Here is a 19,010-nt window from a genome sequence, read left to right on the forward strand (position 1 = left end):
TTGAGAGGGGCCAGGTGTGAATGATATGGTTCGGCTATGTTCCCACTCAAATCTCATCTTGAATTGTAGTTCCCATAATTCCCATGTGTTGTGGGAGGGACCTGGTGAGAGGTAATTGAATCATGGGGGCAGGTCTTTCCCATGCTATTCTCATGATAGTGAATAGGTCTCACAAGACTTGATGGTTTTATAAAGGGGAGTTTCCCTGCACAAGCTCTCTTCTCTTGCCTCCCACCATGTATGATGTGCCTTCTTTCTGCCATAATTGTGAGGCCTCCCAAGCCATGTGGAACTGTGAGTTCATTAAACCTCTTTCTTTTGTAAGTTGCCCAGTCTCAGATATGTCTTTATCAGCAGTATGAAAATAGACTAATACACATAGATTGATTGATTTTAAGAAATTGACTCTTGCAATTGTGGAGACTGATATGTCTTAAATCTGTAGGATAGGCTAGAAGTCTGGAAACTCAGGCAGAAATGGTGTGGCAGCCTTGAGGCAGAATTCCTTCTCCAGAACAGTTTTGCTCTTAAGGCCTTCAACTGATTGTATAGGTCCACCCACATTATTAACAGTCTGCTTTACTTAGAGCTACAAACCACTGCTCAACGAAATAAAAGAGGACACAAACAAATGGAAGAACATTCCATGCTCATGGATAGGAAGAATCAATATCGTGAAAATGGCCATACTGCCCAAGGTTATTTATAGATTCAATGCCATCCCCATCAAGCTACCAATGACTCTTCACAGAATTGGAAAAAGCTACTCTAAAGTTCATATGGAACCAAAAAAGAGCCCGCATCACCAAGACAATACTAAGCAAAAAGAACAAAGTTGGAGGCATCAAGCTACCTGACTTCAAACTATGTTACAAGGCTACAGTAACCAAAACAGCATGGTACTGGTACCAAAACAGAGATATAGACCAATGAAACAGAACAGAGCCCTCAGAAATAACACTACACATCTACAACCATCTGATCTTTGACAAACCTGACAAAAACAAGAAATGGGGAAAGGATTCCCTATTTAATAAATGGTGCTGGGAAAACTGGCTAGCCATATGTAGAAAGCTGAAACTGGATCCCTTCCTTACACTTAATACAAAAATTAATTCAAGATGGATTAAAGACTTAAATATTAGACCTAAAACCATAAAAACCCTAGAAGAAAACCTAGGCAATACCACTCAGGACACAGGCATGAGCAAAGACTTCATGACTAAAACACCAAAAGCAATGGCAACAAAAGCCAAAATTGACAAATGGGATCTAATTAAACTAAAGAGCTTCTGCACAGCAAAAGAAACTACCATCAGAGTGAACAGGCAACCTACAGAATGGGAAGAAATTTTTACAATCTACCCATCTGACAAAGGGCTAATATCCAGAATCTACAAAGAACTTAAAAAAATTTACAAGAAAAAATCAAACAACCCCATCAAAAAGTGGGCAAATGATATGAAAAGACACTTCTCAAAAGAAGACATCTATGTAGCCAACAGACACATGAAAAAATGCTCATCATCACTGGCCATCAGAGAAATGCAAACCAAAACCACAATGAGATACCATCTCACACCAGTTAGATTGCTGATCATTAAAAAGTCAGGAAACAACAGATGCTGGAGAGGATGTGGAGAAATAGGAACACTTTTACACTGTTGGTGGGACTGTAAACTAGTTCAACCATTGTGGAAGTCAGTGTGGTGATTCCTCCAGGATCTAGAACTAGAAATACCATTTGACCCAACCATCCCATTACTGGGTATATACCCAAAGGATTATAAATCATGCTGCTATAAATACACATGCACAAGTATGCTTATTGTGGCACTACTCACAATATCAAAGACTTGGAACCAACCCAAATGTCCATCAATGATAGATAGGATTAAGAAAATGTGGCACATATACACCATGGAATACTATGAAGCCATAAAAAAGAATGAGTTCATGTTCTTTGTAGGGACATGGATGAAGCTGGAAACCATCATTCTCAGCAAACTATCACAAGAACAGAAAACCAAACACCACATGTTCTCACTCATAGGTGGGAATTGAACCACGAGAACACTTGGACACAGGGTGGGGAACATCACACACTGCGGCTGTCGTGGGGTGGGTGGAGAGGGGAGGGATAGCATTAAGAGATATACCTAATGTAAATGATGAGTTAATGGGTGCAGCACACCAACATGGCACATGTATACATATGTAACAAACCTGCACGCTGTGCACATGTACCCTAGAACTTAAAGTATAATTAAAAAAAGTAAGATTAGGTCGAGCAGTGCAAGGAAACTAAGGTGGGCCATTGTTATCATAGTATTGCAAGGCAATGATAATTCCCACCAGCAAATAAACTAGTCTCAACAACAATAACAAAAAAAGAGTCTCCTTTACTTACAGTCAACTGAATGTAGATGTCTTACTTATCTAAAACATACTTTCACAACAGTATCCAACTTAGTGTTTGAATAAATAACTAGGTACTATAGCATAGCCAAGTTTACAAATAAGACTAACCATTACAGTAAAGAAGTATCATAAAATATATTTTATATTACACACTGTAGGGTCTCAGAAAATGATATCTCCAAATGAAGGGTTCACAAGTGACTCTCTCTGAACTTGTACTCTGCTGTCTCTGACCATTCATTCTACCCCAAGTCTACCCCAAATCTCTTCCCCAAGGTGGGTCATAAAAACACAACCCCTTTCCTCCAAAGCCAGCCATAAAACCTTAAAATATTACTTAAAATACCACTGTTTGTAAATAAATTATCTGTTTGATCGTAAGTCATAAGACTCCCATTCCAGAAAGGTTCTTGTACCATACCCAGAAAAAAGAATGCTGCACAGAGAGGCCAAGAATAATCTAAACAGACAGGCCTTGCTAGGTTTCCCCTCTCAGTTTATTAGCATTGGATCATACCCTTTCTGTCCAGACATATTTCTACATGGCAGCTCATACTTTGTTGAACTTAAGCATAAAAATGGATAGTTTTCCCTGTATCTTCGGGAAGATACCCTATCCTTCATTCTAAAGGCTCCTATATCACATGAAAATTTTATCAAATAAATTTGTATGCCTTTTCTCCTGTTAATATGCTTTTTGTCAATGATTTTCAGTGAAACTTCAGAGGGCAAAGGGGAAGCTTTCCCTCAGCCCAACAGAACTATCTTTAAGAAATTAGTTTAGCCAATGACTAGAGGTGCTAATTGCTTTGGGTTTTTTGACTCACTTACTCTTGTAGACTCTACAAGACAACTCGGGTTTTTCTGCTAATATGATATCTGGTATTATATTCATGAATTTATTTTTCATCATGTGGAAGATGACCAGAACAGATTTCAAAATAAAACAACTTTCTCTTAAATGACAAAGGATTATTCATATGCTAGACCTTAATCTTATATTACTTACTTTCAATGACAGCTGCATACTTACAAATCTGTCATATTTACTAAAATAATAATGAAATTCTAACTGAGAATACTAGTATATGTGAACATTTCATAAAATGTTTAACTAATAGTGCACTCTCTCATCTCAAAAATAATCCAGAACTATTATCTGATTCAGTTCTTGGACAGTGCTTTGAGTTGGATAATCATATATCTGGATTTTCAGGAATACTCTCAATTTTAAATATTCTGCCCTGTATAGAAAAAAAAAGTCCATACTTTTATATAATTTGAAAACTATGCTTCCTTTAGATTAGACAGTAATATAATTCATTTATTTATTCAATGAACATTTACTGGGAAGTTAATATATGTAAGGATCTAGCTTAGTCCTGAGAAGATATAAACCATATATTCAGGGCACACAGGTCCTGACTCCACAGTATTGTAGGGGAGTTCTATCATGCTTACAATAACTATAACACAATGTAGAAAATACGAAGCTCCCCAAGGGAAAAAAAAAAATGCTTACTGATTCTAGGTAAGGACAGTACACTGTTTTAAGGATCATAACAAGCCATTTTGAAGTCTCCACATAAAGCTCTCCATGGACGGAGTCTAAGGCAGGTAGATGTCCTTAGACCCACTCCAGTGCTATCTAGGCAACAATGTGTCAAGCTTGTATAGTATGGATATTCTGAAACTTTTTCTTTACTGTTACATTCTGATTATCAAGTTATTGGCAGTTCTGCCTCCTGAACAAATCTTACTCTCTCACCATAATATTTTCAAAGTTGGATTGACCTCCATATAACACAGGCTCCTTTCTCTGCGGGAGAAAAAAACTTTAGGAATGTGGCACTTCCTCTATCTTTTTTGCCAGGATAGTCTGCCTGTTGAATAAGAAATGGGATTACAGAATTTCACTATTACAAGAATGAATGTTTAAAAGAGGTCAAATTATTAAAATGGGCAAGCAATCAACCCAAATCAAATCTGAAATAGGAAAGATGATAGTCATTGCAACCTAACCATTCTCTCCGGTCTCCATAATGACTCAGTTTTGGAGAAACTCTGACATCTCTAACTCTGATAGTAACACAATCTGCAGGGAAGAGTATGGAACTGTATGACATCATTTTAGCCCATAATTGTCCCATGTTGTGCCATAAAATAAGTAATTTGAAGGATAGGGTGAGCTGTACCGCCATGACTCATTCCTGTGTTTTTAAAACTATCTTCAGAATCTTACCTAGGACTAAGCATCTTTTCACTGGGTCAACCAGGAAATTTTAATTCATGTTTCTAGCATAATATACATATACTTAACAAAACAACATATCATTCTCTGACATCAAGAAAAATACAGTCAATCATCTACTTCATAAACATTTATTGAATACTTACTGCCTAAAAAGCTCTGAACCATATTACAGCTGTGTAAATAAATATAATACTTGATATTAAGGTATGATCTAACAAGTGAAACACTTGAGCAAGTCATTTAAATGCAATATGTCAAACACTATAACAGAGGCCTTGGGCAGTACAGGAAACAGAAGAATTTTTCTAGTTAAGGTCATTAGAAAATTCGTGATTGATAGACAGGTAGACCTTTAAAAAGATTAAGTAGAAAATTTCCAGATGAAAACAAAGGGAAAAATATTCCAGGCAGAGGAATGAACAAGAACAAGGCTTAAGTAAAGCTTAATGTAAGTTCAGTCCAGACAGTAAAGATTATGCTAAGGAGATGGCACAATAATCTGTAAAAAATGAAGATCAATAAATAGTTTTAAAACTGTTAGCCTAGGGAGGTAGAGCTACAAGAGGAAAATCCTGACTATGAAGACCAGTTAAAGCTTGTTTCTAAATCTGTAGAAAGATTCTATGAAAGCCTGAATTAGATCAGTGCCATTGTGAATGGAGAGGAAGGTCAAACATAGAGATATTTCAAGAAGTTATGAATAATAGTGACATTTTACAGTTAAATATCTTTGCATCATCCAAGTAATATTTCTTTGAGGTCTAGTATTTCTGGTAAGTATGAATGTAATCTAATTTCATTATATTTGAAAAATATTAGGTAGAAAACCAAAGTACTCTCACTATTTTAGATCATATTATTGGAAAGTTAGCTAGAGTACTCCAAAGAAAAATCTTACTGTAAACTATTCACAGATAAATGCTGAGTTAACTTCAGCCTCAGCAAAGTAACTACCAGCTCTGTGAGTTACTCACAGGCTTCCTAGGTGATTAATTTTGCAAGCAGGATTTTTCTTTCTTTTACAAGTTAGTTTGAGTGTATTTTCTAAATTTAATTTGATTTTCTTCTTTATAAATCAAGTTACTACCCATGAGAAATGATGCTTTGTCAAGAAAAAATCTATCCATGATCTTCCAGGAGGGTAATACATAGTCTCCAGGTACCTAGTTGAACAGTTTCTGGTGTGACAGCTACCTAATTGGTCTCCCTGTCACCGGTTTCTCTTGTCTATGATCTACTATGCATGATACTGCCAGTTTAATCTGCCCCAGCATAGCTGATAATGCCATTTACTTGCATAAAAACCTTCTGTGGCTCACAACGACCTGAAGAAAAGCATTTAAATGCTATAGTATTGCAATTAAGGCTCTCAAGCAGACAGCTAGAATAACCTAATCAGTCTTACTACTCTCAGCTCCCCACCTACTAATCCTAAATGTTCACTATTTATAAAACCTTTCCCACTTTCTCCTAAGAAAGGTGATGGGATGTCAGACACATGTTTATTAATCCCCACTATAGCACAATTTACTGTGTATCTTTGATGAAGACATTTAACTTCTCTGAGGCTTACTTTCCTCTTCTGCAAATTATAAGTAATACCTACCTACCGCTTCAAATCTTATTTAAAATGAAGTGAGGAATGAATCAATAAAATATCTACCATCATGGGTTGCTATAGAGATTAAGAGATAATATATTAAAAGTGCCTGGGCAGATCACCTGAGGTTGGGAGTTTGAGACCAGCCTAACCAACATGGTGAAACCCGTCTGTACTAAAAATACAAAATTAGCTGGGCATGGTAGTGCATGCCTGTAATCTCAGCTACTCAGGAGGCTGAGGCGGGAGAATCGCTTGAACCTGGGAGGTGGAGATTGCGGTGAGCCGAGATGGTTTCATTGCACTCCAGCCTGGGCAACAAAAGCAAAACTCTGCCTCAAAGAAAAAAAAAAGAGCCTAGCCTGGACTTTATTTATAAGTATCAGGTTTTATTACTCTTCTAAGCCTTTACTCACATAGTTTTCTCCACCTGCAAGACCTTCAACCCAGATCTTATACATTACACAAAGCCCATTTCTAAACCCACCCAGCTATGAAACCATCTCTAGTACTCTAGTAAAAATCATCCTTTCTCGGCTATAGTGTAAAGGAAAAATTCTTGTCTTGAAATCAAATTCCTGATTCTACCCATTTTCTAACAGTATGACCCTGGACAAGTTGCTTATCTTCAGCTTCCCCATTTCTAATGTGGATAGCAACAGCAACTCTACCTGCCTCACTAAGCCATTATGAGAATCAAGTTAGAGAAGTTATATTTTTAACTATAAAATGGCCTATATATGTGAGAGACTGTTATTTCCTCTAAAGTATAAGATCAAATAAAAAACTTTGGTTTTCCTCATCTTTATAACTGATATCCAAAAGATATGTTATGAAAGAACACCAAGTCCAATAAAGAAGAAAATAGTTAATATCCAGGTCAAGAACTAGAATATTGGAATCAAGAAGGGATCAAGTAAAAAGGATAGGTTAAAGATAGCCGGGCAGAGCTGAAGTTATGAAGAAAAAACATGTTCCTGAGTTTCACTTTACATAGCAACCAATGTGTGCAAAGGTAGGTGGCAGCTTAAAGAAGCTACACAAAGATGAATATACATACCAGATGCTCAATAAGTGATAAGGAGAGGGGAGGGAAGGAAATAGGAAGAAGAGAGGAAAGGAAAAGAGGAGAGAGAAAGGAAACAGAAGGGAAAACAGTTTCATCATTCCTTTCAAGGGCTAATTTCTATGCCACTTGCCAGGCTGCTATAATAAAAAGTTAACTGGTAGCTAAAGCTTATGTATGAAAACACTCACTTCTCCTTTAAGGTTCCCTTTCCTTGACTGTGCCTTTTCTCTCCACTCTACCCCTCTTCCAACTCCTATTTATCAGTGTTTACTTTCCTCCCACCATTACCCAGGACCTCCAAATACCAACACAAATCCATACGAAGTAATTACTCTTTTCCACCCACTATCTCAGAAAAACAAACCAAAACAAAAAATAAACAAGCAAACAGCAAAAAAAAAAATTGTTTTTATTTAAATGTCAAGAGCCTCATAGGTGCATTCAAGAACCTATTGAGAGCAGTATTGTGTTACCCTACAATAGCATGCACAGTTTAACAGGGACTACCTTAACTCCCTTTGTCTTCTGGAGCCTCACCAAAATATCCATGGAAGGAATTTTAAGTAACAGTAATAGGTTTAAATGAGAAGATATTTGTGCATTGTATAGTAATGATGGTGAGATTTTCTTATATTCACATAATGCTTTTTGCTTTGCAAAATGCTTTCTTATTGGTTATTTGATCTGAATTCCCAGGGAGAAGTGACAAAACAAGGGGAAAAGTCCTATTTATACTATGCATTTTAATATAATGCAGTTTTACAAAATTCCTTTTTCAAAGCATATATATATATCCTTTTATTTGATTCTCCCTGACATATAGTTTTTATCTCCATTTACTGATGAAGATAGTGAGTGAGACTCAGAGACGTAACAGGACTTTCCACAAGATCATTATCAATATAAGTGCTCTTTATGGACCATTTCCTAGGTCCAGGAATTGTACTCAGCACTTTACATGCCTGATAGCTTATTTATTCTTCACAATAACCTTATGAGGTAGACACTATTATTACTTTGACATTTTACAGATTAAAAATCAGATAGGTTAAATAATTTGACAATGGCCATGTAACTAGCAACTGGCAAAAGCAAAATTCAAACAGAAGACTTTCAGATTACTCTTGATTGTTCTGCTATACCAAGCAGCCTCCTTCCTGGCCCAGTGCTGTTACTGTAACACTGTTAGTAATATAAACTTACTTTCTTTCTGTCACCAAGTTAGAATTGCAGATTTCAGCCCAGCAGCTCAAGTTCTATGGAGAAAATACACACACATATACTTAAAGCAGAAGTGAGGAGGATGCTGTGTCCATTTTTTTACACCAAAAAAACCCATAAATGAAGCAGAAAACTCACCATAATTGGGAGCTAAAAATCAGTTATTATAGTGTTGGCAGACAGGAGAAGGGTGATATGCACCTCAGTATAGAATATTGTAGAATAGAGAGATGAATTACTTATAGTTCAGCAAAACACCTAAGAAACAAACAAAAAAATCAAACCTCGGAATAGATGCTTCTTTTAAAATGTTTTTAAAAAGGTCATTTATTTTTTATTCCTAAATAAAAATTTCTATCATATTTCAAAACACCACCAATCCAACACAGAATAGCCATATTATGACTCTGCTCCTGTCATCTTATGATATCAACAACATATTACAGGTTAAAATGCTATGGGATGTGAAGGATCAGGGTGCTGATTTACATTTTCCAGAAACTTCATATAAATCAGAGTTTAAGGTGAGCAGCTAGAATTCTATCACACATATGCTGAGGAAGTAAGAAGACAGATCTCTTTCCACCAGGCACTGGAGATGAAATTTCAAAAAACGGTAGGTGAAACTTGTATTTAAGATCTTCCCAAGCTGAATGCAAACAAGTCGATGTCACTTTCTTTCCAGACAAGAAAAGTCTAAAACCTTTACCTCCAGGTCTTTTAAACTTACATGCTATTAAAATCACATCAAAGTTTTGCTTCAGAAGCCCATCTGATTTTCTTTCAAGGAGAAAAGGAATCATTGGGTGGCACACTGTAGGGACTCCATGAGATTCAAAATAATGATCCCATTGTTCTTCCTATCAACCTTAATATATACTAAATATATAGCTATAATAACGAAGCCTGTGGAAACTAATAATGAGTTCAACAGATCCAGGCAAAAGTAAAATATTTCTAATTTCTAACAACAGGATATTCTGTATGCCTTTTGGGAAGCTCAGATCAACTCATTCATATGCTCAAAACTTTCCAACGGTTTCTATTTCGCTCATAGTAAAATCTTTCCAATAGCCTCTAAGGCTATCCCTTATCTGTCCTCCTCTTTGAGCTCACTGCAGTTAAAATGGCTTTTATAAAAAAGACAGGGCAATAACGGATGCTGGTGAGGATGTGGAGAATGGGGAACCCTTGTACACTGTTGGCAGAAATGCAAATTAGTACAACCACTATAGAGAACGGTATGGAGGTTCCTCAAAAAACTAAACTTAGAGCTGCCATATGATTCAGCAATTCCACTGCTGGGTATATATCTAAAATAAAGAAATTCAGTATATTGAAGAAGTATCTGTACTCCAATGTTTATTGCAGCACCATTCACAATAGCCAAGATATGGAATCAATCAAAGTGTCCATCAACAGATGAATGGATAAAGAAAATGTGGTACATACACACAATGGGAATTTACTTGACTAAAAAAAAAATAAATAAATAAACTCCTGTCATTTGCAACAACATGGATGGAATTGAAGGACATTATGTTAAGTGAGATAAGCCAGGCACAGAAAGACAAATATCACTCATATATGGAAGCTAAAAAAAATAAAATGTACACATGCAGATGGAAAGTTGAATGATGGGTACAAGGGTCTGTGAAGGTAATGGGCAGGGGAGAATAAAGAAGAGATGGATAATGGGTACAAAAATACAGTTAGATAGAAACAGATCTAGTGCTCAGTAGCACAATAGGGCAGCTATGATTAATAATATATTGTATATTTCAAAATAACTTAAAAAGTGGAATTAGAATGTTCCTAACACAAAGAAATGATAAATGCTTGAGGTAATGGACATCCCAATTACCCTGATTTAACCATCACACATTATATGTTTGTATCAAAATATTGCATGTACCCCATAAATATGTATAACTATTATGTATCCATAATAATTAAAAATAAAAATTAAGAAAAAACACACAAAATGCACAAATTGCTAACATCAGTTACCTTGCATGCAGGGAGGATAGAGCTGATACAGTATAAGCGGAAAGTGAGTGAAAGGGGAGTCCACAAAAATAGAAAAATTGTTTTAAGAACAACTGTATTTAGAATAAAAAGTATATATTTATCATTTATGCTTCTATGCAATATATATGGGACTATGCATCTAGAAATTGAATAAAATAATGTTTTTGAAAGTTTATGTTCTTTCGTAATGACACATGCACCCCTGTATGTTCATTGCAGCACTATTCACAATAGCAAAGACATGGAATTAACCTAAATGTCCATCAGTGGTAGCCTGGATAAAGAAAATGTGATACATATATACCATGGAATACTACACAGCCATAAAAAGGAACGAGATCATGCCCTTTGCAGGAACATAGATGAAGCTGGAGGTCATCATCCTTAGCCAACTAACACAGGAACAAAAAAACAAATACTGCATGTTCTCACTTATAAGTGGGAGCCAATGATGAGAATACATGGTCACAAACAGGGGAACAACAGACACTGGCACCTACTAGAGGGTGGAGGGTGGGAAGAGGGAAAGGATCAGAAAAAATAACTACTGGTTACTTAGCACCTGGGTGATGAAATATAATCTTACAACAAACCCCTGTGACATGAGTTTACCTATATAACAAACATGCACATGTACCCCTGAATTTAAAATAAAAGTTAAAAATTGATTAATTAATTAATTACTTTTTTAAAAAAAAGAAAATTGAAAAATCAAAAATATCAAGGCAATGAAAGCCTAGAAAAAAATACAGGAGAATACTTAACTAGTCCTAGAATGAAGAAAGATAAAGCAAAGAAGAAAGAATTTTTTAAAAAGTAATAATTTTATCACATAAAAATTAAAACTATTTTGAAGGTTAAAAAGTACTATAAGCAAAATTAATAATAATAAACAAACCAGAAAAAAAAACAATTATGACAACAGGATGGCATGTTTCATAAATAAACTGCTCTTTCAAAGCAATTAAGAATTCTAGTACCACTTAGAAAAATAGACAAAGAGCTTGAATGGATCATGAAAGAAAAATAGACAACCAATAATCATGTAAAAAGTTGAATCATGATAGTGAACACGTAACTGCAATATAAAGCATTAAGTAAAACATCTTATCTATTAATTTGACAACATATTTTAAATAATAAAATAATGCTACTAAAGATATAGGCAGATTGGCCTTTTGAAAGATGGCTGATAGCATTGTTCTCCAAAACAGCTTGACAATTTGTATCCAGAGACTTAAAAATGTCCATACCCTTGTACTCAACAGTTTCATTTATAAAATCAATCCTAATGAAACAGTTAGAAAAAAAAAAAAAAGCAATGGCTTATACACATGCACATCCATTACAGCATTATTCAAAGCAGGAAATTGAAGATAGCCTAGATTTGAATGAAGATCTGCTTAAATAAGTTCCAAATCATGGAATATTCATAGCCACTAAAATATTTTCCAAAAATGTTCAATGTTATGATATGGATAAATGCTATTAGTGTAACATTAAATGTAAAAGACATAAAATGCCCTATATGCTATTGTCCCAACTTCATGTACATATATTTGTACAAAAAAGGACTAAAAAAGTCAAAATAATTACTTCTAGGTGCTAAAATTAGGATGATGCTTATTTTTATGCTTTTAAGTATAATTTCACAAGGTTGATATCTATTATTTATCAAATTATTGTCATGATTAACTTTTTTTTTTTAAGTGACTAGGGTGATAATTAGGCTCTGTCCTTCCCAGTTTACAAATCAGCTCTGAGCAGGACAGAAAATATATGAGAGGCCTCAATATTAACAATACAAACTCAGCAATCAACATGCTATTGATTGGCACTAGGATTCCATGTAGCTTCCAAAACATCGAGTTGGCTACATGACTCCAATCTTGAAAAATAGTGTGTGTGGGTATGTACTATTACCTCCCTTCAAAGTATTGACTGCCACTTAAAAGTATCCATTGACTTGTCCCTGTTAGCCCTTAGGTATGAACCTGAGACATGCCTCAACTTGCCTTAGTCTTTGGTAAATGTTGATTTTTAACAGTAGTGTCCAAACTGTTTGATTCCATAATTCTATTTGTAAAAACAAGTTGATCGTACAACTCTAATTGCTTTATATTTATTTTTAAAATTAGTTACTACTAATATATAAGTTACCCAAATATAGAAAATTTTAAAGAATATGATTAAAAGAACTGGAAATAGGAATTCTAATATTCTGCTCCTACACTTCAACTGATCATTTTATATTCTTGCCCCAGGATATGTGCCCTTCCTATGGAAATCAGAGTCTTAGACCACACTTCCCTATTCTACCATCCATCTCCTTCCCCTACAGCACAGGTAACCATGTTCTGAAACTCCAGAATGCCTTAGACTTGAGTCAACTCAAACTATGACAATTTTGCTAACATAACCCACTCAAAAAATATAAAGAATCATATCATTCCCACCCTATTTTATGTTTTGGAAAAATTGAATTTTCATATATGAAAATTGCATACAGTATGGTATAACTACATTTCTATTATTGTTGTTGCCATTTGTTGATAATAATCACCACTACTACCATTACTTCTTTAGTGGCCTAAGTCCTAGTATTATTCAGTTCTTTTGGAAGTTTCAGTAGTATACCTCTGAAGATTTTTGAAGTCTGTCATGGCACGGAGCAAGAAGGGATGTCTTCTCCCATTTCTGTAAAACTTGATTGGCTTCTTCTATCTTCTGCTCACAACTTTTTTGAGAATTTAGCAATGTCACCTCATAAAATTCTTGGATATCTGTAAAGAAAATGTAAGGAAAGCATCAAAATGTAATGCATGACTTCATAAATAGCTTCTGCATATATGTCCATATATAGACATACAGAAATTTTGCTGATTAAAAGAACTGCATAAATATATATCCCAAAGTAAAACAGAAGAAATCCTGAAAATTATCTTTTTACCTGCATTTAGAATGCTTATAGCAGCTTTATTCATAATTACAAAAACTAGAACAAATCCTTCAAAAAGTGAATAAACTGTAGTAAATCCATATAATAGAATGTTATTCAGTAATAAGGAATGAGCTATCAAACAAAGCAAAAACATAGATGAATCTTAAATGCATATTGCTAAGTGAAAGAAGTCAGTCTGGAAAGGATACATACTGTATGATTCCACCTATATAGCATCTGGAAAAAGTAAAACTAAAGAGATAGTTTTAAAAAATCAATGTTTGCCAGAGGTTCTGAGAAAGAGAAGGAGGTTTGACTAGATAATGCAGAGGATGATGAAAATATTCTCTAATGATACTGTAGTGTTGGACACATAACATGAACCATTTGTCAAAACCCAAAGAACTCAATAGCACAAAAAGTAAACCTTAACGTAGGCAAATTAAAAAAAAAATCATGTAGGAAGTCAGAGGATCCCAAGATGAAATGCAGACTGTTACAAAGGAATGTAACTGTATTACAAATGTATAAAATAACCTCCAAGAAGTCAACAGGAAAAAAAAAGTACTGACTTAAGTAACTTTGAAAATGAACAGAGACTATAAAACCAAAGTCAAGGAAACTATACAAAAGCATCATACTCTAGTTGGTAAACTTGTGTCCTGTTGGGTACAGATGAACAATTCTGAAAACACAATACATGTATACTAAAATTGAACAATTAAGTGAATGGATGGTAGATGATGGGAGCCAAGTTTCTTACTGTTCTATAGAAAGTTACAGGCAAGTAAGGTTAAAATGATTCATATGATATTAGATGAGAGTTGGAGACATGTTTAGCTTAATGTAGATACAGATGAATACATATAAGAATATTTACAGACATGTATATACACAAATCAGTTATACACACATATATTTCCTTGCTCCATCTGCTGAGAAGGCCTAGAAGCAATGATGCCATAGTAATAACAAACAAAACTAGCACTCTGATTTTGGCCTCTGTGCAGCATTGCTAAAGAGTAATGAACACTGTCATATTATATTAGCAATGAGGGTGTCTATATGAACTCAAAGTTTTCAAGAGCTACAGGATAGAGAGATAGATAAAAATATGTTTAGAAACAGAAATGAATATGTATCTGGACATTTCCCAGCTTTGTCATATATAATTCCTGGCTCTGTCTTCTGAGAGGACCTAGAAGCAGGGACACCCCAGCAGCAACAAACACACCCAGAGCCCAGATCTTGGTTTGTAATACTATTTTCCAATAAAAGAAGCTCCTTGGAGAAATGGTTGATCGTAGGACTGGGGCAGGAGACATAAGATGAGCATGGAACATCTTATAGCCCCAGCAAATAAAGAAATAGTCACCAGAGAAACAACCCTGCTACAGTGGGGGAATATCAAAGAAACACAAGAACCACATGAAAGAGCTGCCAAAGATGGCCAAAGCTGGAGCAATTTGAGCAAAAACAATATTACCTAGTATTGGATTATAACACAAAATATAAAATAAAGGGATGAGTAGGAGGGATTACAAAAGGGTAAGAGGAAACTTCTAAGAGTGATGTGTATGCTTACTATCTTTATTGTGCTTATAGTGCATACATATGTCCAAACCTATTAAATTATGCATTATATATGTAGTTCATTATGTATCAATTATGCATAAAATATATATATGTATCAATAAAGAAAGCAAAAAGACAAGGTACAAATTGAAAGAAGATAATTTCACAGCACACAGACAAAGGAACAGTATCCAGATATGAAAAGAAATACAAATCGCAAAGAAAAAGACAAGCAAACTAAAAGAAAAGAATTGGTAAAAGTTATGAGCAGGCATTTCACAGTAAAAGAAATACATGTCACAGATAAGCCTAGGAAAGATCCTCGACCTCATTGGTGATAAAAAATACAAACTAAGATCATAGTCAAATGCCATTTACATCAAAAATATTGTCAAAAATAATTAAGTCTCACAGTACAAGGACTAGAAAAAGACATGAATCCTTGGTAACTTATTTATTCCTAGCAAGTGCAAATTGCTATAGCCACTTCAGAAAATAATTTAACATTTGTTTATCCTATAAGTCGGTATTTCTACTACCCAGTACATATCCTAGATAAACTTTGGCACATATGCATCAAAAACAAACCAAAATATTCCTAACAGCATAGATTACAGTAGCAAACATTAGAAACATTCCAATGTCCATCAAAAGTGAAATAGATAAATTGTGATATGTTCTCAAGATGGAGTGTATGGAGCAGTAAAAATGAATGAATGATAATATCATGAAACTATATATCTTAGAAAAATAACGTTGGGTGAATAAAGCAAGTTGCAATATGAAAAAAATTTTGTAAAGTTGAAAAATGTACAAAACTGAACTATATATTTTTAAGCATCCATACATATACATGTAACAAAACAAATAGACAAAAGCAAAGGACGACATGAAAAGATGTAGTTACTTCAGTAGACAGGGTGGGCAAGGAAGTGGGATAAGGAAAGTACATATGAGTAGATACAAGTTAATGGTAAGGATCTATTTCTAGATGTCAGTAGCAATTTCAGAAATGTTTGTTTTGTTATGCTGTGTATATTATAGATAAATTGCATATATTATTTTGTATGAATTAAATATTATATTTTCATAAATAATAAAGAAAAATTTTGTGTTTCATAAATATTAAGATTTACAGAGAAAAGTTAGCAATCCTTAAATTTTATGTACAGCTACAACTTTATTCTCCACTAGCAATAAAGTAACTGTGAGGTCATGTTTGAAAAATGTGTAAGAACAGAAAGTAAAATCTGTACAGATATACATCTTTCCCAGATTTTTTTAATAACATACGGGCTGGTAGGTTACTAATTGGGTGGACAAAAATCAGAGAAATAAGGAATAAAAAAAAGATAAAACCCAGAAAACAAAATATGTTTGCATCATCTTGCCTCACGTATTAATGGAGAGAAAAGAATTTGGGCATGGTGGTGTGTGCCTGTGGTCCCAGCTACTGAGGAGGTTGAGGCAGAACTGCTTGAACCCAGAAGGTCAAGGCTGCAGTGAGCTGTGTTCATGCCACTGCACTCCAGTCCTGGTAACAGAACAAGACTCACTTTCAAAAAAATAAAAACTAAAAATAAAGGGAAAAGAAAAAAAAGAATTTCTGTAAACATATCTGCAGCTACAGTCTCTTAAAAGAATAACGACTTGTAATGAATAAAACAATTTTTGTAGATAGTAAAATTTCAAGAGTCTTTTTCTCTGTATCGTTTTATAGGATATAAACAGTTTCATGAGCAGTATTTGCAAGTCACCAAAATTTGAAATACTACGTGTACAAATTATTCAGAAAAGAAAGGGTATTTATCATACTCACGCTATGCATTTATATCAATAAGCTGTACTTCGAAACATAACAAACAGTGATTTGATCACATTTAGAAAAACCCTAGGGACAATATTTTTAATATTAAACTTACAAATCTTCATTAATTTATACCCCCAAATGTGAAGAAGTGTTCTAATTCTATTTCACTCTTTTGTCTGCTTATTCTCCATGCCTTAAGCAACTACTAGAGAGGAAGAAAATAACCATGATTAAGTCAAAGATGACTTAAATTTGATGATAATTCAATGATCAATGTCAAATTTCACTTTTGGTTAACAAGAATTATTTTTTAATAATTGACATATATCCCCTTGTCACTTTCCAAGCATCTCTCTTTTGCACCCTCTTTCCTCACCACCAGCACCATCATTCCCACTGCCAGAGTTCAGGCCCTCGCCATCTGTTACTCACACTCTTCTCTAGGCCCAGATCCCCCTTCCCACACTTAGAAATCCTCCTTCTCCTTCAATGCCCAGTTCCAGTTCAGTGTGTGTAAAAACAATATTTGAAGTCAGAGATCTAAATATGAAATGTCATCATCAAGAAATTATTTTTACTAAAACTGGGTTCAATTGAGTAGGTAGTAAGAACACCCAAGCCACTATCATCAAAAAGAAAATATGTTTGGAAAGTTGTAGGGGATTGTCTTCTTACAGCTTCAACAAACAGATGGTAAAATGTGTTAAAACATACGCCTATGCTTCTTCCAACATGCCTTGTTCCCTTACGACATACCTGCTTTGAATTCATCTAGACAGTATAGCACAGTTGATCTTCCTATATTTAACGATGTTGCAAATTATATTAGGCTTTTCTGAACACTTGGTTCTGCTTAGGGAGCTAGATAAATGCTCATATCCACTTCCCTTATCCTGTATCCAAATCCCATACTTTCTCTTCTGCAAAGTAAAATGCTGCTGTTTTCTCCTGTTCCAAAAACATACTGCTTGAATCTACTCAAATAGTTATTTCTCTTTCAGCCTTATAGTAGAAATAGTTGTTCACCCACCTGTTTTCAACATTTCAATTCACTAAGTAGTTTTTAAGCGCTATGCAAGGCCCTTAGGAATGAAGACAATGTTCTATCCAGCCATATATTCTCTAGTATCTAGCATTATCCTTAAACTCAGCAAGCACACAATGAATTCTTGGTAATTTTCATTTACTTGTATTCCCTCTCTTTTTAAGGATCTAACAGAAGAAAAATCATTGAATGAAGTCAAATCCCTTCTCACTCAGGACTGCTAAACCCTGCATATTGTTTAGATTACATTTTTATGTGACTTGACTCCTTGATTTAATCACAGCACCTCAAATTCTTGAAGACGTGTCCATTTTGATGTCACAATTTTTAAAGAATCATCTATAAATTATTGTTAAATTTACAGGAAAGTGTTTACAAACTCTAATGTACACAAAAATTTCCTGGGGACATGGGGCCTGAATTTCTGCACTTCTAATAAGCTCTCAGGTGAGGTACATGGCTTCTGATCCACTAGCAACATTGGACTTAAGAAATAGCATCTCAGGGATAAGAATTTCATACTCTCAATTCAAATAGCCCTTTTGAGTCACTGCAATCCTCTTGCAGTGACTCAAAAGAAAAGTGGGGTTAAAGAGGGGAATAGGGTGAAAGATGCCCATAATAGAAGGAAGATGGCAAGTGAAGAACTCTGCCTATTGATTCATAAACAATAAGTACTTAGTATGGATATTATTGACTAAACTGATTTAGATTGAATTCATTAGAACTTAGTTGAAAGAAGCTGTATGTCCATCTTCTGCCTTTAGGATCCATTAAAACAAAAAAATTGACTTCTAGGTGAGAGCTGAGAGAGCCCCTATTCAGTCCAATCTCTCTCTCTTTTAACCTACACTCCTTGAAAATGAGATCTGGTCTTCATAATAATGATTCTGACACAGTTAGGTCTTCAATTGTCAAACAGCATGTTGAAGGAAATTCATAATAAATAGGACTGGATTTTCAAGCACATCCTTAAAAACTCAACATATACTCAAAATATTTCATCTTCTTCCAAGAAGAAACACCTAACATGACATACCTAT

The 19,010-nt window shown here is 34.7% G+C and overlaps 1 protein-coding gene across 13 annotated transcripts in view; it reads right to left on the minus strand.

Moving 5' to 3' along the window:
* The window catches only part of DLG2 (discs large MAGUK scaffold protein 2), a 2,173,362-nt gene that overhangs the window by 1,816,975 nt on the left and 337,377 nt on the right, over nucleotides 1–19,010 (minus strand). For all 13 annotated transcript variants that reach the window (NM_001351274.2, XM_017017256.3, XM_047426494.1 and 10 more), the window contains one exon: nucleotides 13,234–13,379. In NM_001351274.2, the coding sequence (NP_001338203.1) occupies nucleotides 13,234–13,379 (146 nt within the window). The remainder of the gene's footprint in view (nucleotides 1–13,233; nucleotides 13,380–19,010) is intronic.

Source organism: Homo sapiens, chromosome 11 (assembly GCF_000001405.40).
Source record: "Homo sapiens chromosome 11, GRCh38.p14 Primary Assembly".
Taxonomy (NCBI): domain Eukaryota; kingdom Metazoa; phylum Chordata; class Mammalia; order Primates; family Hominidae; genus Homo; species Homo sapiens.